At 41.3% G+C, this 25,772-nt stretch overlaps 2 annotated features.

The window, feature by feature from the left end:
- Positions 3,140-3,299: an enhancer, noted in NCBI's record as "active region_6035". NCBI's record gives its function as "activates an Ori minimal core promoter by ATAC-STARR-seq in GM12878 lymphoblastoid cells {active_cell/tissue: GM12878}" and the evidence as "EXISTENCE:reporter gene assay evidence [ECO:0000049][PMID:35858748]".
- Positions 4,659-4,748: an enhancer, noted in NCBI's record as "active region_6036". NCBI's record gives its function as "activates an Ori minimal core promoter by ATAC-STARR-seq in GM12878 lymphoblastoid cells {active_cell/tissue: GM12878}" and the evidence as "EXISTENCE:reporter gene assay evidence [ECO:0000049][PMID:35858748]".

Genomic DNA, 25,772 nt, shown 5'->3' on the forward strand with positions numbered 1-25,772 from the left:
CAGTTTACTTTTCCCACTGATCTCATCTTTCCAGAGCACTGTCTGAATCTCCCCTAATGACCTCAAGATAACCTTCAGGTAAAGGGAATTTCACACCTGGTTCCAAGTTCGTAGTCAGTAGAATAGAGTGGTTAAGAGCATGGGCTTTGGTGTCAGACTGGAGTATTCTGGTTACTAACTGTGTAAGTTATTCAATCTTAATACCTGTTTCCTCATCAGTAAAATAAGGATAATAATAGAACTTCTCTTGCAAGATGGTTATAGAGTATAAATGAGGTTTTATATATATATATATAGTGCTTAGAAAAGGGCTGGAATATGGTAGCCCCTCAATCATTTAAAAAAAATTATTGTCATAACATTCTGATGGGTTACAAAATCTAGGACTCCAAGGATAAGAGCTCTGATTGTGGGCTTGAAATGAGTAGCCACCACTTTTTAAAAGGTCCTAGTGTATAGGATGATGATGGAAGAGATGAAGACCAACAAGCAACAAAGACCAACAGGCATTACCTATAGCCTGCAGAGTCAAGCTATAGGTAATCGACAATGCCAGTGACAAGGAAGAAAGACCATGGTGGGAAGACCTGGGGAGAAATGGCAAGAAGCAGTCACTGAGTACTGGAGGAGGGATGGACTTGCGGGAAATAAACCATGTCTTCTGCCCTCCTCCTCTCTATAAAAGCCTTGGGATGTCAATTCTGAACTCCTACTATATGCCAGGAGGAGGGACCACTTGCCAAGTTCTGTAGCTGGAAATGCCTTCCTCATCTCACATACCAGTCCTCCAGCCTTCACCCATACATGGTTTGGCTTATGTTCAACTACTTTAGCACCTTTGCTAGAGATTTAACGTTTTCTTTTGTGAAATATTTATGACTGTTTTATTTGATTCAGTGACTCTTCTGTGATTTGAGAGGAGATTATGACCAGCATTTCAGAGAAGGTGTGTCCAAGGCTCTGTGTTCAGTAATTGTCTTCTTATGTCCCAAGGAGGTGGGGCTCTCCCCACTACACCACACAGTTCAATTTCATAATTTTAACCTGTCTTTCATTCTCACATATGCATTCAGAGGCACATGCACACACACTTTTAAAAATCACCAGAGCATTAGTATTGAGAATATCTGGCTTAGGATTAAGCTGAACAATACATTTCTTCTTTTCTTTCTTCTTTTTTACTTACTATTTTTTACTTACTATTATTAAAGTCTAACACTTCAGCAAAATTTTCATTCTGCATCTTTTGCAAACAATCCAAAGATAAGATTATTATATAATTTATCTCTTATAATTATTTATGACCATGCTCTGAACTTAGTAGGGTTTCAATAAGTGTAATAAATGAAACTGATTAAAAGCTCTTAGAACAGGAGCTGGGGTAGGGAGTATTCTTAGGAGGACTCAAATGTTGAAATGCACAGGATTGTTAATAACATTAATAGTTATTTACTGATTACAGATCTCTATGTAAGGGACATTACAAACAGTAATTCTCAAAACAACCCCAAAAGGTAGGGATTGTTTGTATTTTACGGTTTGGGAAACTGAAGCTTAAAGAAGTTAATCTGCCCAATTCCAAGGCAGAGTGGGAATCTAGTATTCCCTAATTCTGCATGGTTTTGTGTGGCTCCAATGTCACTAGACTACTACTTTTCATCATACTGGGTCGAGTGTAGTTTCCTGGGCTGCCAAAATATACTTCCCTCCATTGGCAAAGTCAAGGTCATTCCTTGTGCATGAGTACGTGTGTGTGTGTGGCGGGGAAACTCAAATGCGCCCTCAGACCTGGCCGAGAGTCTCTTCCTCAGCTTCAGCAGGGGGTGCCATCCACAGACTGAGAGTTGGTGGGGCCTGCGTGGGAGCCACTGATGGGAGAACTTGAAAGGCAGGAGGGGGGAATCTTCCGTTACTAAGCAAGGATCTAAGAGCTGTTGTCAAGGAAGAATCCCAGGCCTTCCATAAAAGGAAGGCCTCCTTTCTCCTACTGGCAGCAAGTGCTGCCTTGAGCAATGAGTCTGACAGTTTCCCTAGCCCATCTGCACTTGGGCAGCTTTGGAAAGGAGAACCCAGGAAGCAGGGCAGGAGGAAATGAGCTGGAACTTAGTGGGTGAGGCCTTGGCCTTGAATACCTGGCAGAGAGCATCATGGGAGGCAGAGTGCGCAGCAAGGGCCCGGAGTTGAGCTCCTCAGTTGAGCCTCACAATGAGTGTCCTGCCCTCCAGCCTTGTCCTCTCCAATCCACCCGTGAAGCTCTACCTGGAAGATTTTCCCAACATGCCACGAGTCTGCCTAAATGTCCTTCAACATTTCCCCATCATCCACTGGGTAAAACCCAGCTTGTTTTGCCTGGCAGGAAAGGACTTTTTCCTGATCTGACCTTTGCTTGCTTTACTTCCATTACCCAAGTCCCTGTCGGGCCATTCCCAAGTTCTTGTCTGCTTGAAAGCTAGGTAGTCTCTCCTGGGCCTTTGCATATGCTATTTCTTCTGTCTGGACTACCACCCTGTCACATGTACCAAAAGCATTACTGGCGTGGAAGACACATTCAGGGTTTTAGCACAAGCATTTCAAATAATCATCAAGGACAGCCCTCCCACCGACTTGTCAGTTATAACACCATCTGTGGCACCACTACCTCCTTTCTGAGCCCCCAGCCCACTACAACCCTGGAGGAGCTAGACTTTAAAGACAGAGGTGGAGTGGGCATGTTCCCTGGTTCGATTCTGCCCCTCCATTGGTATAGATTGGGCTGCCTGGAATTGCACATGAAAAATGCCAGGCACCAGGGTAGAATCCCTCAACCTCCCTCATCTCATCTCACCTAAATCTCCTGGGCAGAGTGGAGGGAATAATGATGTTAAAATCAACATTAGATGTTGAGATCTAAGTTTGAAGCTCAAGTGATTGTTTAAACCTGCAATGATGAAACCCAACCCAAGATACTACTGAGGGAAGAGAAAAGGAGATCGGAAGGTGGTTTTTATGTGGTAAAATTGAGACTTCCCCCAAGATGGCCATATTTGAATCTCATTTCTGATTTTTGACTGATAGTCATTTTCCCTTGTCTCTTTACTTTCTCAAGCATATGTGGAGAGATGTGCTTCAGAGGTTATAGAAACAGCTGCGTGTACAACACACATCCTTTCAGGGCTGATGATTCATCGTAAGCTTTCACCATAGGTTTCCCTTTCGTATTACAAACAAGTAGTGAATTTCTGTGCTGACTGAAGCATCTGCATTATCTCATGAAATCTTTTCAACCACGCAAGTTCATTTTATTATGCCCATTTTTACAGATGAGGGCTCAGAACTACTTGCTCAAGGTCAAAAATCTGGCAAATTCTGAGACCGTCAAAGATACCCTTGACTCCTAAGTCCATACTCATTCCATTGTACCACTGTTAAATTTAGGTTATGAAGTGCCCACTGTGTACAAGACACTGTGCTTAGAGCCAGGAAACATAAAGAAGGATGCCCAATGCCTGCTTCTGTGTAGCTCACATTATGCTAGGGGAGATGTGCCATGGAAAATTAGTTCAATGGGATGTTGCAAACATCAGGAGCCAAAGAAAGCACAGAGGAGGGGCACTCAAACCTATGAGGGGACAGCACTTAATATAAAAAGCTGGATTTTAAGTATGAGTTTACCAAAGTGAGGGACATAGTATGAAAAGAGATGATTCCCAGAGATGACCAAGGATCCCAGGCACAGTCTCTACATTGGTATAGATTGGGCTGCCTGGTTATCATGTCACCTTTCCCCTTCCTATGTGACAAAACTATCACCTGTTTGTTCTTTATTCTCAATCTGGGCCAATGTCTTACTTCTCTTGGTGTTTTTATTTGTTAAGCTCTATCTCAAAGTAAGGAACAGAACACATTGTCAAGAAGAAATTTTAGGTACTCTCTGGGGAGAGGAGGAAGATGGGGGAGGATTATTTTAAGGAGCAAGAAGTCTATTTCCTGGATCCTAGAAATGGTGCCACATGGACTGATACCTGTTGCACCTGCCCTAGGGCTGGTCCTGCAAGGTGCTGGAGGAGAACACAGATAATCACAGTGACAAGGACATGCATGAAGCCTGTGTCAAGGTGAATGTGGCTGACGAAAGGAAAAAGGAGGACATTTCTCCTTGCAAAACTCTATATAATCAGAAGCTGGATTTGCTCAGTGATGTTTGCATTTTATAGCTACCCACTTATAGCTATAAAAAAGGCTTTGCTTTTGAAATTCCTGCAGGAAAATGGATTTTATTAAGACACTGCATTTCTTTGGTCCTTAAGCATTGAACCAATTGTTTTTGTAATGCGCTTTTTTAAACTCAAGCTTTCTTAGTCATATACGAAAAATATAACTGAAGAAACTTTACATAGTAGAGTCCAATCCTGGAATTGCTTATAAATTCATTGAGAAGACAAAATATATGTGAAATAGTTAAAATAGTCTAAGATTGTTCACTAAGTGCCACAGCATGAAACCCCTCTTAACCTCTGACCATCTAAGTTCTGAGTTCATCCATGTGAATATTGTGTTTTCCAAAGCTGGGCCACACCTATAACTGCAGTCTGTTTCCACTGCTGTGGTCCATGATGCTTTCCTGGCATAGCCTGCCCAGGATTCTTGCTCTAAACACTGTTAAAAGTTTTTTAACTGGGAGGCCAGTCAGCTGAGATGGCTCCAGTGTCTTGGGTTCCTGTGCAGGCAAACTGAAGCCCAATGTAAACAGTAAAACAAAACTTAGGCATAACCAATCAGAAACTGCCACTAACCTCTAAGTTGGGGCTTTCCACCGAGTCATATCCAAATATGGCAAATGCCTAGCTTTAGCCAATCAAATGATTTCTTTATCCTGCTTCTGTGTCCAGCCTGCTGCTCACCCTCCTAATGGGGACCACCCTGAACCTCTTCTGGTTTCAAGTGCTGCCTGGGAGAACATCCTTTTCCTTCTGATCCCTCTTCCCTGCCTACCTTTCCACCACTTTCTTCTCTGTCCCTATCCATGAGATATCATATTCCGGGACCAGCTGCCCAAAGCCAATCCTACAATCTCATCTGCCGCTGCCTAAGCCTCACTTCAGTGACTTATTCAGAAGGATCAGGCTCATCCACAGAAACCAAGCCCCTTTGCCTGCTGAAGGGTTTCTCAAACATGCCTCATCACAAGAATCACAGATAACATGTCTGAAACACAGATTCCAGGGTCCCCTCCAGGCCTAAGGAATCTACTAATAACACCAGCGTGAAAAATCCTGGCCTGGCTTAAGGTCACTGGAATACAGGGTGGTGGCAGGGGTTGGGAAGAAGGGTTAGGAGCTGGTCTGTATGCGTGACTTAGTCCTGTCTCTGTCCTGTCAGGCACCAGTTTCGCATTGGTTCCGGCGATGGGAATAGAGGGGAGGGAGGCCAGAACCCAACCAAAGCCCAGCTGAATGGATCATGAGATCTGAATCAGCCGGAAGCCACTGCTGTGCGCCCCAGAACCCATGTCTCAATTCCACCTGGCATCACCAATTATCTGTGCCTCTGACATAGGAGGTTTTTTTTATTCCCTCGAAATAGGGCTATAATTAAATCCAAAATTGTACTGGAGACTTTATCGTCATGGTAAAAGCAGAACACAATGTCTGCAGACAAAAAAACTCTTTCAATAAAAATTAATTATGCACAGCTCATGCCTCAGTCCCGGTGGCAGTGTGAGGAATGCATATGAGGCATGGGGAGGAGCTGGCCCATGGCACTGCCCAGGCTGGCTCCACCACCCTCCCGAGGCTCCCGCTGTGTAGCCCCCCTCTCCATTCACGCAAAGCCCCCCGCTGCATCTCCCTCCCTCGGAGTAGCTGCTTGTTCTCTGCAGTCCCGCGGGTCACTGCTTTTTTCTCCTCCTTCAGGGTCCGAAAAATTGAAAGCAGTCATAGGTGGGGCTGAGGGAGGTAAGAGAAGAGAAACAAGGCACAAAACAGAGAGGGTGAACTTGTGATCTGTCATTCCCATTAAATCTCTTTTTCTTTCAAGAAGAAGCATTCTCACTGACAGGGGATCTAAGATTTCTTCTGGCATCATGTTCCTTATGCTTCTTGCCACAGGGAGTGTGCGGGCTAAAGGATTCTGTTCTCTGAATCCAACAGTGGGCTCTTGGGGAAGATAATGGAGCTGCCCAGAGCCAGTGCCACATAGTACCCATGTGACAGAACTCAGACCCTGCCCTGGGACTTTGCTTTTCCTGTCCTCGGGAGACTAAGTCCAAGGGTACAGTAGAGTCAGATATGGGTTCTGCTGGTGGACATCCCTCCTGGGGAGTAAGTACAGTGAAAAATCAGAGAGAAGCGGAGGCAGGGTGGGAGCATCTCACCCTATAAACTAGTCACCGGATCTGACCAGGAAAAAGAACAAGGACTTGGAGAAATGCAGGCAATGCAGATCAGGGTTGGATACCTTCCAGTTCATCTAAGAAGTAGTGACAGAAGAGTGGGAGCCCAGTAGAAGTTGCTCTGCCAGTATCTAGATTTTCTTCCTGTGGTAGACTGGGTCTTCACCACCCACTCTGCCTGGAGGAGGGTCCCTCCAGAGCTCACTGAAAACCAGGGACAGGGCTCAGCTCACTAATGGCCTGCCCACTCAGAACTCCGCGAGTGCCCGCAGAAGCAGCGAAGGTACCAATGGGGTGTGAGACCCACCTCCATCTTGCTAAACGGTTGGGGGCAGGAAGCTCTGTGGGGTCAGAAACTGCAGAAAGGGGCCAGTCAGGGCCATGAAAGGGCTGGTGGGATGTTACTGAAGAAGTGCTCTTGGGTGTGAAGGTAACCAAAATTGTCCTCCAACTCCAGGCTCTTCAAGATATTCTCAGGGACTCGTGGCATGGGTAGAAGATTGAATGAGGTATTTCCCAAGCCTATGATTTGGTAATTCGGTTGAGCCAGTCAGATTCTTCCCCAGTTGGGGCTGGGGATTAAGGGTCTTATGTGGACTGGCATGTCCTTATTTCCTGGTGATAAGACTCCATCTGCTCTCCCAACACCACAGACCTCAGCACATAGACACATCAATTGTACTGCAGGTGGACACATAGAGGCATGGCAGTTCTGACATTTATTTTGTAGGTTTTTTTCCCCTTTCAGTTTCTGCTGACACAAACTCCCCCAAGCCCCAATTTCAAAGCATATTAAAAGACCAGATTTATTGACCTGAGAAGAGGGGAGGCCTTGCTTTATCGCAGATGATTGGTTAGAAATTCTGTCCAGGTTCTCTGACACTGGAAATAAACAGCAACAACCACCATCCCCATTTATCGTCAACATTGCATTGCAGGTCCCAGCTAGGACAATAAGACAAGAAAAGAAAGCATGAAGATTGAGAAGGAGCCAGGTATGGTGGCTCATGTCTGTAATCCCAGTACTTTGGGAGGCTGAGATTGGAGGATTGCTTGAGCCCAGGAGTTCGAGACCAACCTGGACAACATAGCGAGACCCTGTCTCAAAGATTTAAAAAGAAATAAAGATCGAAAGGGAATAGAAAAAGCTATCATTATTTGCATGTGGCATAAAACAGCTTATGTAGAAAATCCAAAAGCTATGCAGATAATCTGTTTGCATTGATAAGTAAAGCTAGCAAGAATGCTGGATTCATGATGAAGATAAGATTTATATTTTATATCTTTGCAATTTTTTTAGCTAAAATATTTTTAACCATTATAAATGGTTAAAAACCAAAATAAATTTAAAAGCCATCAAAACCATAAAATGCCAACCTGGCCAACATGGTGAAACCTCATCTCTACCAAAAATACAGAGTGGTGGGGTGGTGGGTGCCTGTAATCCCAGCTACTCAGGAGGCTGAGGCAGGAGAATCACTTGAACCCGGGAGGTGGAGGTTGCAGTGAGCCAAGATTGCGCCACTGCACTCCAGCCTGGGTGAGAGAGTGAGACTCCATCTCAAAAAAGAAACAAACAAAACACCCCATAAAATACCCATGAAACAATCTTTCCAAATTATGTAATTCCACTATACCTCGGACTATAAAACATTATTGAGGTAAATTAAGAGACCTAAATGAACGAAGGGATATACACTATGTTCACATATTGAAATATTATAAAGATGTAAATTTTCTTACTACATTGGTCTATAAATTCAACATAATAATAATAATCAGAATTCCATCAGGGTTGTGTGTATGTGTGTAAACGGGTAAGCTGATTCTAAAATTTACATGGCTATGTAAAAGGATGTGGAAAGGCAAGCCATTCTTGAAGAAGAACGAAGCTGGAGCCATTACATTACTGATATGAAAGCTTATTAAAAAGTAACAGTAATTAAGACACCGTGGTATTGACACAAGGGTATACAAACAGACAAATGGAACAGAATACAGTCCAGAAATAGACCACACATATGAGGTCATTTGATGTATTGCAAAAAAGATGATGAAGTGCAGTGAGAAGATAACCCTTTTAGTAAATGGTGCTGAGTTAATTGGATATCTAAATGGTAAAAAATGAATTTTACCCTACCTTACACCATACACAAAAATCAATTCCTGGTGAATTGCAGATCTAAACACAAAAGGAAAAACTACAGAGCATCTAGAAGAAGACATAGGAAAATGCCTCCAAAATCTTGGCACGAGGAACAATTTATCAGATGGAGAACAAAAAGCACAACCATAAAGGGGAAAATGATAAATAGGAATTAGTAAAAATTAAGAACTTTCATTTATCTAAAATACTATTAAGAGAAAACGTAAATTACAGAAGTGGGATAACATATTTAGAATATATTTTATATCTCCGAGATACCTAAAAGACCCCTACAAATCAATAATCATTATAATAACTATTTGCCAGAAAAATGAGTAAAAGGCTTGCATAAGTATTCTGCAAGGATGCACAAACGGCCCACAACGATTTGAAAAGGAGCTACTCTCCGCATATAATGATCCCTACATTTAGAGAAAAGAAAGCAATAAACCGAGTCTCAGGGAGATGAGGTTACAGGTTCAGGTGAGCATCCTAAGAAGGCAAAATGGTGACACCCACATGGTGTGATTGATTGGAGGGTCAAACCCACATGGTGATCACGGAAGTCCCAGCACCATAAATATATCCATTCCTTTGACATTCAAGATTCTCCCAGAAGGCTTAGATTTTATGCCCTGTTATCAGCTAACATGTCAAAGAGATTTATCGACTGTCAACTGAGAAATGGCCCAAGGTTCTTAAACATACATTATGCCCTGTGAGTTCTAGAGCCAGGAGAGGGGACCATGTGTAAATGGGAGGTGGTGGTGTCAAGGGTCATGTGCTACAATCTACTCAGGGCAGCCCCTTCTTGTGGCATCCCAGATCAGTCATCTCTTCATTCACTTGCACTCAAAAGGTATTCAGCAAGCATTCATAGAGAAGCTGTTTGTCAGCCTTGTAAGCCAGTTACACATGTGAACGAGATGGGTGCTGTCCTCACTCTCTGGGAGTGCACAGTCTCAGTCTGGTAGTGGGGTACACAAAGCTGGCTTTCTAGCAGGCAGATTCGCTGATTCCTCAGCAGGGCAAGAGCCAAGCTGGGCTTTGGATTCCGAATCATCAGAGCCCTGTGCCTTATACGTGATCTGCAGTGGTACTGGCTGCAACCCCTCCCCTTACCATGTTGTTCAAGGGAAATGGGCTTGATCCCAGGGTGCAATGTAGAGCAGTAACCTTTACTTGAAACGGTTGAGGGGACATAGGTGCATCAGCATCTGGAAATGGATTCTAGCCAATATTATGAAATTTCCATAATGCCACTTTATATTGTAATTACAGTGTATTCACTCTTTACAGTCATCAGCCAAAAGGGGCTCTTATCAGTATATTTGTCATTATAAATGTTATGTGTATAATCACAGAAATTTTCACATTCAGAAAGAGTAGTCACATTCAGGAGAGACATATTACCTATTATGAAACACAGGATGAATTCTGGAAAGAACAGACCACAAACCCGAGGCTGCAGAGTGCCTCCTCTCCGAGGCTTTCACAGCCACATCGGAGCCTAATTTGTCTTAGCCTTGGAAATTGAAGACAGACCAATTATCATAGAGAGCAGAGCATAAGAAGAACCAGAATACACTGTGCCTGTGCGGGATTCACACTTACCCAATTATATATATGCTCTTTGGTTCCATTTTATTTATTATATACATCCAGTTCTCATGTTTTAGTTAATAAAACATAATCATCCTTTCATTTAAAAAATCTGTAACCTTTTTCCATAAGAAAAGTGGGAGTTCTTTGCCTCAACAAATCATTCATCCCAGGTTCCTCTACAGACAGTGGAAGATGCTGAGGGGGAAGGATTTTGTAAAGTGATTTGATGTAGCTTAAGTCTCCAGTGGCCCCCTGTATTAGTCCATTTTCATACTGCTATAAAGAACTGCCTGAGACTGGGTCATTTATAAAAGAAAGAGGTTTAATAGACTCACAGTTCAGCATGGCTGGGGAGGCCTCAGGAAACTTACAGTCATGGTGGAAGGCGAAGGGGAAGCAAGGCACCTTCTTCACAGAAGTGCCGAGTGAAGGGGAAAGAGCCCCTTATAAAACCATCAGATCTCCTGAGAACTCACTCACTATAAAAAGAACAGCAGTAGGGAAACTGCTCCCATGATCCAATTACCTCCCACCTGGCCTCTCTCTTGACACGTGGGGATTATGGGGATTATAATTCAAGATGAGATTTGGGTGGGGACACAAAGCCTAACCATATTATCCCCTCACCCCACAAGCTGACTCTACATCATCACTGGGCAAAGCCAGTCACTCAGTAGGCCTCAACGCATTTTTTATCTGAGTTTTAACCCATTTATGCCTAGTGTTCCATTATTGGAATGCTAAGCATGTGGGAATTATTTATAGCCTACCGTTCAAGGTCATTTCCAAGGTCTGATTGCAACCTCAGGCATAAGTGTGTAAGGCATTCTGTCAACTATCATTCCTTCTCTTTGACAGGCACCATGCCTGTGCCTATTCCACCCAGGAGTCCATCCTCTGGCGACCCCCACTACTGGGTAGGAGGGTGATCTTCGTGCAATCCCTAACCTAGGTCTATTTTTCCAGACTCGTTCTCACCCCCAGAAAATCCCCTCAGAAATTTGAGGTTCCTCTCTCTTATGTTAATTCTGCCAAGTTGTGTGAGAATACAAGTCTATAAGCGGGACTCTTTTGTTTACCTGCTCTGCTCTTTCCTGCACGGTGTGGTGATGCTGCCTAGCATGTCACCAAGCCAATGGCCACTCCATATCTGTTTACTGGTTTGTTCTTTGCAGTAGCCAGATCCATACATAGTTCCTTCCACTAAGACTGTTTAGACCTTAAATAATGTGTATCCCTGCCTTTTGTGGCAGTGCATGCATACACACCGTGGAACGCCCTCGCATTCACGACAAATCTAATGAGACCTTGCTTTCAGGAAGCCATACCTTTGTCATGGAGCCTGCACATTGCTAATTCAGTACCTTACCAAGTCATACTGTGTTCCCAACCACACATTTCAATTCACAGGGAAAGACTCCACAGCCTGTAATTCAAGGGTCACATTGGGACACTTTCTGCTAACACCACCTGAGAACTTTAATTGTCAAGCCTCAGGAGGCAGCTGGGGCAGGTGAGGTGCTTGGTGGTTTCCTAAGGTAACTTGTCTTATTTTTTGAAACAAAGAATCCCAGGCTGATTTACTGATTGGTGAAATGAGGAATGTGCAATGATAGAGCTGTGTGCCCACTGACAGATGGAAGCAGAAAAATCTCATGGGAGTTGAGGGGACCTTCCCCAGATTTCTGAAAAGAGGCCTGATACATGGCACATGGGCAGCCTTAAGTCTTAAGACAGATTTCCAAGGCTCAGTAGGACTATAAGGGTCTGTGCTGAATGCTGTTCTGAGTCCCCACAAATTCATCTGGTGACATTCCAGAGAAAAATAAGAATTAGTTATAGATGGAAAAGACCAGGAAACTATTTATTTTAAATTATGCAAATCTATTATCACTGTAAACAGAAGGCCATACAAGTCCCAAAAAAGGGTGACAGAAATAGCAGGTATAATTTTTTTGGAAATGACTAAGGTCATTAGGGATGCTAGAGTTCAATGCTGCATATAAATTCCATAGTCAGCTAAAACACATACTAGAGACTTGAGAGCTAATAATTTTAATCTAAACTTACTGAATGATGAAATACTCTCCAAAGATAAAAAAAAATCTCAGTTATACATGTAGAGAAAAATGTTAGCTGAGAATAATATTGACAAATAGTGATGAAGATCCTATGAGACAGAGGAGATCTGCTTCTAGCCTCAGGGAGAGAAGGGGAAAAGAAGCTTCACTACTGGACCAGATAGAAGAACGTTTACCCCCAGCCGTCCTCTAAGATTAAGCATAGGCTGGATGCCAGTTGCCTACTGCAGGGAAATCAAGTGAGCATTAAGAACCCAAAAGAAGATGCCCAAAGCAAATATCTGGGAGGTGACAGAAAGACATTTAGCTGAGCTGGCAAGATGGAAAGCAGAGTGACTTGGACTCTGGAAGTGGTGTTCCACAAAGCCTTGGATGGGTTACTGAGACAGGAAGACCCCCTAAAGAAGAAGCTCTGCTTCTCTTGGCCTTGGACTTTGGTTGGAATTTAAAAGAGTGAGAGTGCCTGGAAGGATTCTCAGTTTCCATATTAAGTGATTTTTGTATATATATTTGATTATATACACATATGATTAAGAATATATATAATGCACACATACACACAGCATATAGCAATTTGGGGCTTGAGGCTTTTTTTTTTTTTTTTTTTTTTTTTGAGACAGGGTTTTGTTCTCTCACCCAGGCTAGAGTGCAGTGGCACAATGTATCTTGGCTCACTGCAACCTCTGCCTCCTGTGTTCAAGCGATTCTCCTGCCTTAGCCTCCCGAATAGCTGGGATTAAAGGCACGTGCCACCTTGCTGGCTAATTTCTGCATTTTTAGTAGAGACAGGGTTTTGCCATGTTGCCTAGGCTGGTCTTGAACTCCTGGCCTCAAGTGATCTGCCTGCATCAGCCTCCCAAAGTGCTGGGCTTACAATGGGCCACTGCACCCAGTCCTATTTTGGCCTCAAGGCTTTGATTTGCCGTTGAGGCAAAGCCCACCAAGTGATGTTTCAAATTATTGTATCTGATCAGCTAAAAAGATCTTGCCATTGACCTCGTTCTACATTCCCCTAGATATATGCCACTAAACAAAAAATACAACCCAACAGAGAGATCCTAGTGTGAAGTCCAATTCTCAGAATGTAATGGCCAAAAAAAACTTTCTTTTGTCTAGATTATTATACACATACACACAGATAAATTTTTATTCACTAGTCCTGAGTACTTGTAAGACAAAACACTTGTTGCAGGAAGAAACCAGGGCACCATGGAATAATGGTGATTGATTTTAGATCTGGGGCATGGAAAGTTCAAAGTGATTCTGGAATATCGATTCCAGAAAGCAAGGAAGTGCCTAAAAACTGATGGAAATATGTTCAAAGAACGTAAGAGGCAACTTAGGGCCACAATCCCCAAAATTTGGTAAAATTTGAGTATCAAGAAGAAGAATAATAATGACAATGGATTATAATAACATGCTTAATAAAACAAATAATCCCTGAGTCCATAATAGTACTATAAAAAGGTGGGGAGTGGGCTCTTCTTAAGAAAGAATGCCAGCTAACAGATATAGAGGAATGATATAATGTAACCCATTTGATAATCACTCAAATAATTTAGGCAAGTATCATCTATGGATATTAAAACCACTGAGTGAAACATAGGAACAGGATACACAGCCTCAGAGAATCACCCCACAGGTTATGTATTAATTACAAAGAAACCATGTGACACATTGCAATGTAGAAATCTGGAGGTCACTTCCTTAGTCAATTGAACACATTCAGCATCACCAATAATGGGAAAACTGACATTCTGTGTCTTCTGATTTGATGTACTAAGAAGGTCACAATATCACCTGCGTAGTATTCTTGGCAAAAAATCTTTAATCTCAATGTAATCATGAGAAAACAATCAGACAAATCTAAATTATAGGACTATCTACAAAATAATTGGCCTGACCCTTGAAAATTTCAGTGTTGTGTTTTTTGTTTTTTTTTTAAACAGGGACTGCTCAAGACTAAAAGAGATTACGGAGACATATTAACTAAATAAAGTGCATAGGCTTTGATTGGATTATGGATCAAATGAGAAAAGCCACATAAGACATTATAGGGAGAATTGAGAAAATTGAGCTGTAAATTAGAAAATATTCTTGTATGAATGTTAACTTTCTTGACAATTATGGTGCTCTTAGGAGACATCTGCTGAAGTATTTGGGGCAAATTGTCATGATGTCTGTAGTTTACTTTCAAATGATTTGGTGAAGGTGGAGAGAAAGGTAGGGGCTTGGAGAAAGCAATTGCATGTGGCAAAATGTTAATTGGTGAATCAGTGAAACAGAAATGCATCTTCACTGTAATATTCTCTCAATTATTTTGTAGGTTTGAAATTTTTCAAGATAACAAGTTGGAGGAAATTTGCTTGTGAGGCTACAGAGAAAATATTAGGACACATCATTTCAGTATAATTTATATTCTTAGGTATACTGAATTAAATATTCCAGCAAAGATATCAAATATGAGTGTGTGGCCCAAAGGAAAATATTTCTCTTTACTATTCTTAAAATAATAATGTCTCGTGCTTGGATATTTATACTGGATATTTATACGTGTGCCAGGCATTGTGCTAAATGTGGTAGCCTCATTTAATTCTCACAAAACTTTATGAGGTAGGCACTATATTGCAGATTAGGAAACAGGCTCAGAGAGATTAAGCAGCATGCCAGTGTCAAACAGTAAGTAGACATGAGCCAGGATAATAGAACCATCTGCCTCACCCCAAAGTTTGGCTTTTTTTTTTTTTTGAGAGAGAGTCTTGCTCTGTTACCCAGGCTGGAGTGTAATGGCGGGATCTTGGCTCACTGCAACCTCCACCTCCTGGGTTCAAGCAATTCTCCTGTCTCAGCCTCCCAAGTAGCTGGGACTACAGGTGCCCACCACCACACCTGGCTGATTTTTGTATTTTTAGTAGAGGTGGGGTTTCACCATATTGGCCAGGCTGGTCTTGAACTCCTGACCTCAAATGATCCACCCACCTTGGCCTCCCAATGTGCTGGGATTACAGACGTGAGCCACCGTGCCTGGCCAAAAGTTTGGCTTTCAACCTCTCTTTCACACTGACCCTGGTCAGTAAAATTCACATACTTTTACTCTGAATACTATCTTATAGTCACCAATTATGAAAGATATTATCAAGTTATATAAAATTCTCTGTTAGTGTTACCACTTAAATGTATTATTATAATTTAATATTCTGATCAATAGTTACCATACACACAAGGGATTGCCAGTTTTGAAATGAAAAAGATTATTTTGAAACTACTTATTATAAAACTATGCCAAATATAAGTCCTTTATAATAGTAGCAATATAGGTAACAAGACCATCATTTACTGGAATGTTCCTTTTAGCTTTTCAAAATGTGTTACGGTTGTTATTCCAATTTTTCATTGACTCAGTGGCATATTAACATAGATGGAGATAAGTGGTGGGGCTGTAAGGATGGAGTTCTGTCTGAACTTATTTCATGGTATCTCTCAAGTTTTTCTTTTAAAAATACACTGCTTGACTTGTGTCTTGTTTGCATAAATGTGGAGGACACAATGTGTGTCCCTGCCTGTGCTGGTGAGTAGAGAATTTGGTTTTCAGGAAACCAGATACAATCATCTTAATAGATTATGAAGCTGTAGTAAGTGAAGGCATTGTGGCCTAGGGCTGAGGGAAAGTAAACAGAAAATAATTTCAGCAAAGTTGTTCAGAGAGTGCTGGTGCAAATATTCTGGACATTTAGATGACTTGGAAAAATGGGCTTCAACACTGTCAAAGTCAAACCTGGCACTGTGGGAGGGAGGTAACACTGTAGCTGAGGGCATGCGTTCAGGAGTTAATCTGCCCAATTCAAATTCTGGCTTGACAGCCTTCTAGCTGCATGACCTCAGGCAAGTTATTTGACCTCCTTGTTCCTCTGTTTCCTCATCTGAAAAATGGGAAAAAGATGAGTCCCTACGTCAATGCACCTAACTTTGGTACTTTGCTAACAGAGAGTTTCAAGGATAGAATAAGAGAAGTCCATCCCAAGAAACAGGTACCTCAGAAATATTTTCTTCCATCCAAGGTTAAGAGATGCCCTGATTCCCTACAGTGTACATGGCTTAGCATGTCTGGCATCTCTGATGATCAAGGGAAGAAAAGTCTTCAGAGGGTCATTGAAGGCAGCAGACAAAATATTCTACAAGAAGACTTGGAATATTCTGAGTGGCTCCTACCAGAAATGCAGTCACTTAGTTATGGTTATTTCCAAAGTTATGATTCTTGACTGATACATGCTTTAGTCACTAGGGCATGGATATCTCATATAACAAAGTGCCCTTTATGAAGCTTGTAGAAAAATACTGCAAAGCTTCTGGTAGCATTTTTGAGAGGCAAGAGCTATAATACTTCTTCCTGGTAGACCAAACAATATTTGTAGGGGTTATAAACAAACAGCAAAATAGGGGGCTACAATCCCATAGCAGCATCAGAATTTAAACTAGATGAAACTGAAAAGCAGGCAAAGTCTGACATTGGTAATTTCCTTTTCTCCCCTCGACAACCCAACACCAGTACTCGGTACTGTCTTGTGGCTTTGGATATCTTCAGATAATCTGCCTAGCCATGTCCTACTAGGCCAAACCTGCCAATCCCAATAAAAACTTCTTTTAACTACTAGGAAAACTACTGGATTAAAGTTATTGATAAGGAGCTGCAAGAAATTGATAGATTTGAATTCAATAATTTTTAAAGGAGAAGTTTTCTTAATAGGGTTAAAATATGAAGAAGCTATTTAAAGAAATAGACCTTCTGGGCACTGTTGCCAGCCTCTACAGCTCATACACACACATTTTCAAAATACTTCTCAGACTTGCCAACCCCAAGCTGGTTCATGGAGCACCAAAACAATGCCCAAACATCTAGCCGATATCTCCGTGGGGCCACAATAATTTTGCAGAGACCTCTCAGCAACTAAGAGTGACTGCCCTTATGGGCAAATATTGCCACAAAGAGGTGAAGTGACTTTGAACTGGCGAGTTGGGTAATGTGTTTCAGTCTACTTCTCTCATGTCACCAACTCTAGCAGATGTGCAGCCAGTCTTTCTGGAGTGGTCCTGGACCCTGGACACATTATCCTGAATATTCATCCCTAGTAACCAATATTTCTATGTTGATAACAGTAAGATACACATGACCATGAAGGATAGGCTGTAAAAGGCTCTGAAGTGACAAAATGGCAGATGAGGCAGAAAGTGATTGGAGCAGGGACTGTTCTGCTTGTTTTGCCTTGGTGATAGCAGGTGCATTTATAAGCTGACAACGTATATATGAGCCTTTCTCTTCTTGAATGTGTCCTTGTCCCTTACCTGTTGACTCCTTGAGTCCCTGCCCACCTTAGCCTGAGTTGGAGGACCTCTCTGCTTAGGTTAGCCTTGATGACGAAGGCTGAGGGCACTCTAACAGTACTTCTATCTTTGTTGATGTTCTAGAAAGCGGGCCATGGGTTCCAACCAGCTTGGCGTTTTCTCAGCTATGGCACGATGCACTTGGACTTCATTTGTGATCGGCCCCTCATTGAGCATGAAAGCTGGTTACCTTTTTCCTGCCAGAAAATCTGGCTTTCTCATTTGCCGTATTTTCTGGGTCTGCTGGACCCAGCTCAAAAACGCCTCAGCAGTGTCTGTCACTAGGGAAAAAGCAGCCCCTGAGAAAGGGCAATTAAAGGTAGTGTTTGTCTCTGATTCTTATTGGCAGCTCTGTTCAGGTGAAGACATAGAAAAGGTCAAGGCCCACGGCCCACACACAACCTGATTGTGTAGCTAGGCAGCTTTCCAGGAGGCCTTCTATTTGGAATAGGAGCACTTAAAGGAGACTCCCTCACGGCATAAGCTGGGGGTGGAGGATGTAGGCCATTTAGCTACACGATGAGGCAAATGTCCTACTTGCTAAGTCTGGAAAGGTGGGTGGCAGGAGTGGTGGCTTCCATTTTTCTAAGAACACAGCTTATTTCTTGGGCTCCATTCCCCCCGGGTATGACCCATAGAGAAGAACGTCCTGGAACTAAAGGTCATACCTGAAGCCAGGTGAGTTAGAAGAGAGCTCTACGTAAAGTGACTAGTAACACATGCAGTGAAGTTTTTTCCCAGAAAATAGCATCATTGACCGCATCCACTTTTGTGTAATGCTGTGATCTGTTTGTGTTCCCCCAAAATTCATATGCTGAAACCTAATCCCCAAGGTGATAGTACTAAGAGGTGGGGACTTTTGGAGATGAGCAGGTCACAAGAGCAGAGCCCCTATGAGTAGGATTAGTACCTTTATGGAAGAGACAGTAGAGAGGTAGCAGAGAGATAGCTAGTTCCTTCCACCATGTGAGGTCACAATAAATGGGCCCTCTCCAGACACCAGATCTGCCAGTGTCTTGATCTTGGACTTTCCAGTCTTCTGAACTGTGAGAAATACATATTTGCTGTTCATAAACCACCCAATTTTTGGTCTCTGTGTTATAGCAGCCTGAACAAACTAAGACATATAGCCTGGAAATTTGGATTTAGTTCAGAAATCCCAGGGAAACAAAAGGAAAAGGGATCAATCTCATAATGGTATTCATACTTGACTGCTCACTAGGAGGTTATGGGAGTTCTCATGGAAAATATTGCCTAGATGATGCTATCTTATCCAAATAGGTTATGACAACTTTTCATTGTTTTTGTTGTTTACTTTAAGCATATCTTGAACCCCATCCAAATTCATATTCAATTTAGGAGAGGTATTAAAAAACCCCAACATACCAAAATCTATTAATCATTTATCCTGGGATGATACTCAGCATTAGTTGTAGAAGTGGCATAATCTCAGCATGAAATGTAAAGCCAAAGTACAGATATCAGCCTGGTCAACATGGCAAAACCCCGTCTCTACTAAAAAATACAAAAAATTAGCTGGGCATGGTGGTGTCCACCTGTAGTCTTAGCTACTCGGGAGGCTGAGGCTTAAACCCAGGAGGTGGAGGTTGCAGTGAGCTGAGATCATGTCACTGCACTCCAGCCTGGGTAATAGAGTGAGACACTGTCTCAAAAAACAAAAACAAAAACAAGCAAACAAACAAACCAAAAAACAAAATACATATACCTGTGAACTTTTCAGTACTTCTTGAGTTGGCCCCTTACAATTCCCTTTATTACTGGGTAGGCAGTATGGTTATTCTGGCCCTACAATATCAGCTGCTCTTTATTAATTGAAATACAATTTTAAGAATATTAAATCTGTTTGGTAACTATTACATCCCTCTGTTAGTAAAGACAGTCAGGAGCTGAAAGTATAGGACTACGGATGGTCCCTAACTTATGATGGTTCAACTTATGATTTTTCGACTTTATTATGGTTCAAAAGCAACATGCATTCAGTAGAAAGTGTACTTTGGATTTTGAGTTTTGATCTTCTCCTGGGCTAGCAATATGTGGTTCAATATTCTCTTGCTATGCTGGGCAGGGGCAGGGGCAGTGGCAGTGAACTGCAGCTCCCAGTCAGCCAGGCGATCACTAGGGTAAACAGCCTATACTCCATATCTTCCCAAAAAACGCTATGCCTACTAAACCATCAATAAGTGTCAATGCCTCATTGCCTTCTATTCTTGAGCCTCATCAGAAGACAGAGAAATTGATGACCCTATTTCTGCAGCATCCCCATCAATCAGCAATTAACTTTAGTTCAATGCTTCTCCAGGCCCCATGTACTTTTGGCTGTGGACATTAATGGTGAGTACCCATGCAAACATTGTTTTTATACTTTCAGTAGAGTATTCAATAAATTACATGAGATATTCAACACTTTATTATAAAATAGGCTTTGTGTTGAATGATTTTGCACATCTGCAGGCTAATGTAAGTGTTCTGGGCACATTTAAGGTAGGCTAGGCTAAGTTACGTTTGGTAGGTTAGGTGTATTGAATGCATTTTTAACTTAACAGTATTTCCAACTTATGATGGGTTTATCAGGATGTGACCCCAGTGTAAGTTGAGTAGTATCTGTATTTCTGGGCAAAGTATTATTCTTTCCCATTGTAAACTTATGTTTGATTATGACCTTTGGTACCCCAAAATTAAATTGTTTTGCTCCTGAGTGAAATTGTTGAAAGCTTCATTGGCCTTTGGTGAATACATAAAATAAACACTTTTCTGATAAAAAAAAAAAAAAAAAGGTTCCTATTCTCTTTGGTGAGAAATACAGAGGCTCCTAGGGCAGTTTTCACACTTTCTTATTCTTTGTCTAGAACCTGTAACCAACACATTGAAAAACTCACCACTAGCTCCAGTGATTTTCCCTCTTGGCTCTATGCTTGCAAATCCCATTGACCTTCTCAGTTATTTTCTTTCCTTCCTTTTTCCACCCACCCCCGTCTGTCACCATTCTAATCCAGGCTCCCATTACTTCCATCTTGGACAGTGGTATCAGGCTCCTGACTTACCTCCTTCTCCCTGAGAGTGGGAAACATTAATACCATTCAGCAGAATCATGCTTCCCTGTACTTCTGGCCTCCTTGAAGTAAGGCAAGGCATGGACACACCTTGCTCTGGCCAATGGCACATGAGCAGAAGTGAACTGTGTCTCCAGACCTCTTTCTCCTATGGTGGAGCCTGTGCCAATGATGTACCTGCCAATATGATGTGGATGGATGTGTATGGGGGTGAGAAGTAAACTATGCTTGTTTAAGTCCCTGAGATTTGAGTTTCGTTTGTTTTGTTATTTGGTTCAATTTGACCAATACACACAGTCTCTTCCTCCTCTAATTCTCTTTATATACTCTTGCCAGGGTAATCTTAAATCACAGGCCAGATTATCCCCTAATCAAAAGCCATCAGCTGTTCATCATTACCCAGAAACAGAAAACCCAAATGTCTGAATTTCAAGAAACTCTGAGCTCTGCCCTCAATGTCCTCTTCCCACTTTCTCACTACACGTATGTTCCGGCCCAGTGTAAAGGCTCACAGTGACCCTCAGATGATCATGTCTTGACTTGGGATGTTACATTTGTATGGAGTGTCTTTGCCCTGATTACATCATGTTGAAATCTAGCCACTTTAAAGCACAGGTTCAAATGGTCAAACTTTCCTGACTCCTACAAGTGGACAGGCACTCCCACTCTTCTGGGGTCCCTTAGCAAATTGTGTCTCATTTATAGTACTTACTACTTTCTATTGCATAATGCAGTTATTTCTGTATATGTTTTACCTCTCCGATTAGACAATAAACCCTCTTAAGGCAAATAGCAGTATTAGTTATTCTTGTAGTTCTTTACAGTACCAAGGTGTATAGTTGCTCAGTAAATACTTTATAAGTTAAATATTAATCCTCAGGGGAGGGCCATGAAGTTCTGTTTTAAATCCCAAATGATCATAGTTCAGTAAATGATGAGAAATGCCACCTGTAGAGTGAACAGGGATTTTCCTAGTGAACTTCCTCCTTTGGTGGGATATTCTGCAAGAGCACCCCTGGATAAGGCATCAAAGAAATCCTGGTTCCTAGGAAGGTCTGATTAGACTCTATGCACATGGTAGTTTAGGCTTCTCTACTCTGAAAATAAAAACTAGAGGAAACTCTTATTCAATAAAAAAGAAACATATTTAAAGATTCCCAAAGGGTCTTTGAAGCAGGAATGAAACTTTAGTTTCAGAGTGACCTTCAGTACTGAAGAAAGCTTTACAAGGAAAGATAGCGCTGGGCATTGAAGCACTGGGCACTGATAGAACTTTTAGAGGGAAGAGACAGGAAAATGGGGAGAGAAGAGACTAAAAGAGAAAGGCTGGCTTAAAATAATCAGTGATGCTGAAGGACAACAGCTTAAATGATCAACTGGGAAAATTCTTCAGTCTAATGGCACAGGGAGATCACATCACAAGCATGACTAGAGAGCTGTAGATGGGAAAAGGTGTGAGGAAGACATTGTGAGGTTAGTGCTGTTAGGATGGAATCTTTGTGGCTATTGATTGAATACGGAAGGCAGACCAGTGGTGGAGTAAAAAGGTAGCACGTTGCTGAGATGGTGCAGACAGTCAGAGAAGCATGAGGGGCCCACCTGGTATGGAAGCTGTGCCAATCTGAATCGCCTTGGGTTTGATTATTTTTACCATCTGGCCCAAACAAACCTCATGAAACTGAGGCGCCCTGAGGCTATGCCAGTGCAGCTCATGTGTATTTAGATGTTAGCTGAAACAAAGAACCATTTCTCACAAGTATAGAAATATAACAAATTTATATTAATTCAAAAAGTACCATTTTCTGTTTATAATTCTTTTCCCCTAAGAATTTCTTTTAAAGTAGCCAGACTCTGTTGCTCCTGATTTTAGGAAAGAATTTAGGAAATTTGTCCCACACACCATGAGAGGTATGTAAGCAGTAGAGTATTAAGATGCACCTGGATTTCTGGCGTGCTGAAAGCAGACACGTTACACAAACTCAAATGCCTAAAAAGGATCCCAGAAATGGGAAAGTCATAGAGAATGAAGCAGTAGTGGGTCAGAGCCCTTCTCCTGCCATATATGCCCTTAAATTTTCTTTTCATTTCTTAGAGCTGCCCATTCTCTCATCTCTCAGGGGAAAAGAGTAGACACATTTCTTTTGTAAGCAGAAGGCCTTTGACTCTGACTATAAACTTTGGAAATGGCAGGAAGAAGGAGAAATGCATATATACCAAGGCACATGGGAACAACGATTATATTCTTACTAAAGCCACAGATTTTAAATGGTTTGGCCTCAGTAGTCATTTTGGGGATTAGGTTGGACTTGGGGTTTAAAAGACATCTGGAATATGAATGTAGAACGTGACAGTCTGAGTTCAGCAAGCAACGCATCTAAGGAATTTAAAGAAAAAGAAAGACCAGACAAAATGTCAGGCCTAAAGTTCTTAGAATCAGCAACCAGAAAGAAAACAGATAATTGACATCACAATAGCACAGGAATTTCAACAAAGCAATCTGGAAGAGTGAAGAGAAGATGTGTTTCAAAGTCAGCTTAACTTGATCCTGGATTCCAGATCTTCTACCTACATTAAGCAAGTTAAGTTCTGGGATCCATTACAGGATACTTTATTCATGAAGGCACACAAGCAGGTCAAGAATTGATCCATCTTTATTTAGACATCCACAAACATTTTGAGTTAGAAAAACCAGGTGTCCACCTTAAACTCATAATCTACAGAGTGATAATTAAGTGCAGTGAAGTAAGAACCAAGGGAGATAGGTGAAAAATACATGGGATCACCCAGGAGGGGTTGATGGTAGAGATTTCTGAGCTTGCTAGAGTACATCATGATAGAACAAAGTCACTGCTTGCTGTTGATACTTTAAAAAAAAATTTAAAAGAAACTTTTGTGGGTACATAAATATATATATTTATGGGGTACATGAGATGTTTTAATACAGGCACACTATGTGAAATAAGCACGTCATGAAGAATGAAGCATTCATACCCTCAAGCATTTATTGTTTGAGTTATAAACAATCCAATTACATTTTCTAAGTTATTTTTAAATATACAATTAAGTTGTTATTGACTATAGTCACCCTATTGTGCAATCAAATAGTAGGTCTTATTCATTCTTTGTATTTTTTTTTGTGCCCATTAACCATCCCCAACTCTCTCTTTGCCCCAATCCCTCCACTACCCTTTCCAGACTCTGGAAACCATCCTTCTACTTTCTATGTTCATGAGTTCAATTTATTTGATTTTTAGATCCCACAAATATGTGAGAACATGTAATGTCTGTCTTTCTGTGCTTGGCTTATTTTACTTAACATAAGGATTTCTAGTTCCATCCATGTTGTTGCAAATGACTAGATCTCATTCTTTTTTATGGCTAAATAGTACTCCACTGTGTATATGTACCACATTTTCTTTATCCATTCATCTGTTGATGGACACTTAGGTTGCTTCTAAATCTTAGCTATTGTAAACAGTGCTACAACAAACAGGTACACAACAAACTGGGTACTCAGCAGTGGGATTGCTAGATCACATGGTAACTCTACTTTTAGTTTTTTGAGGAACCTCCAAACTGTTCTCCATAGTGATTGTACTAGCTTACATTTCCACCAACGGTATACAAAGGTTCCCTTTTCTCTATATTCTCACTGTCATTTTGGATGTAAGCCATTTTAACTGGGATGAGATGATATCTCATCGTAGTTTTGATTTGTATTTCTCTGATGGTAAATGATATTGAGCATCTTTTCACATGCTTGTTTGCCATTTGTATGTCTTCTTTTGAGAAATGTCTAGTCAAATCTTTTGCCCATTTTTTGGTCAGATTATCAGATTTTTTCCTGTATAGTTGTTTGAGCTCCTTATATATTCTGCTCATTAATCCCTTGTCAGAAGGGTAGTTTGCAAATATTTTGTCCCATTCTGTGGGTTGTCTCTTCACTTTCTTGATTGTATTCTTCTCTGTGCAGAAGCTTTTTAACATGATGTGATCCCATTTGTCCATGTTTGCTTTGGTTGCCTGTGCTTGTGGGGAATTGCTCAAGAAGTCTTTGCCCAGACCATGTCCTGGAGATTTTCCCCAACATTTTCTTGCAGTAGTTTCATAGTTTGAGGTCTTAGATTTAAGTCTTTAATCCATTTTAACTTGATTTTTATATATGGCAAGAGATAGGGGTCTAGTTTCACTTTTTTGCATATGGATTTCCAGTTTTTCCAGCATCATTTATTGAAGAGATTGTTTTTTCCCCAGTGTATGTTCTTGGCACCTTTGTCAAAAATGAGTTCAATGAGTTCACTGTAGGTGTGTGGATTTGTTTCTGGGTTCTCTATTCTGTTCCATTGGTCTATGTGTCTGTTTTTATGCTAGTACAATGCTGTTTTGGTTACTATAGCTCTGTAGCATAATTTGAAGTCAGGTAATGTGATTCCTCCAGTTTTGTTCTTCTTGCTTAAGATAGCTTTGGCTATTTTGAGTCTTTTGTGGTTCCATGTAAATTTTAGGATTACTTTTTCTATTTCAGTGAAGAATGTCATTGGTATTTTGATGGGGATTGCATTGAATCTGTAAACTGCTTTAGGTAGTATAAATATTTTAACAATATTGATTTTTCCAATCCAGGTTGTTGATACTTTGCCATGACTGTCTTCCTTTACAGTGTCGGAGCTGTGCAGGCGGAGCTGCAAAATGACAGATAGCATGGAGCCAGCAGTTGTGTATTGAAATTACCAAGCATAAGAGCTGGCAGTGACTTAGATATATCTAGCTCAATTCATGCACTTAAAGATGAGGGAACTGAGGAAGGAAGAAATAGAGTGACTTGGGCATATGCAAATTGCCCAGGTTATTGTTCAAGTTAGAGCCAGAACTAAAACCCGGATTTTCTGTCCCCAGTAGTGCTCTTTTCACCACATTGCGCTGCCTCTTACTGCCAAATAGTGTTACTTAGAGGCTAGAACTACTTCCCCAGAGATGATGGAATCAGGAAATTCTACAAACATTTTTTATGAATGCTCTGTAACAATTTCCATGGGTAACAAGCCTTTTTAGAGACTATTGTCTGAAGCAATGCTGCCCAATAGAAAGTCTGCAATGATGAAAATGTTCTATAGCTGCAC

The sequence above is a fragment of the Homo sapiens genome, chromosome 12 (genome assembly GCF_000001405.40).
Source record: "Homo sapiens chromosome 12, GRCh38.p14 Primary Assembly".
NCBI lineage: Eukaryota > Metazoa > Chordata > Mammalia > Primates > Hominidae > Homo > Homo sapiens.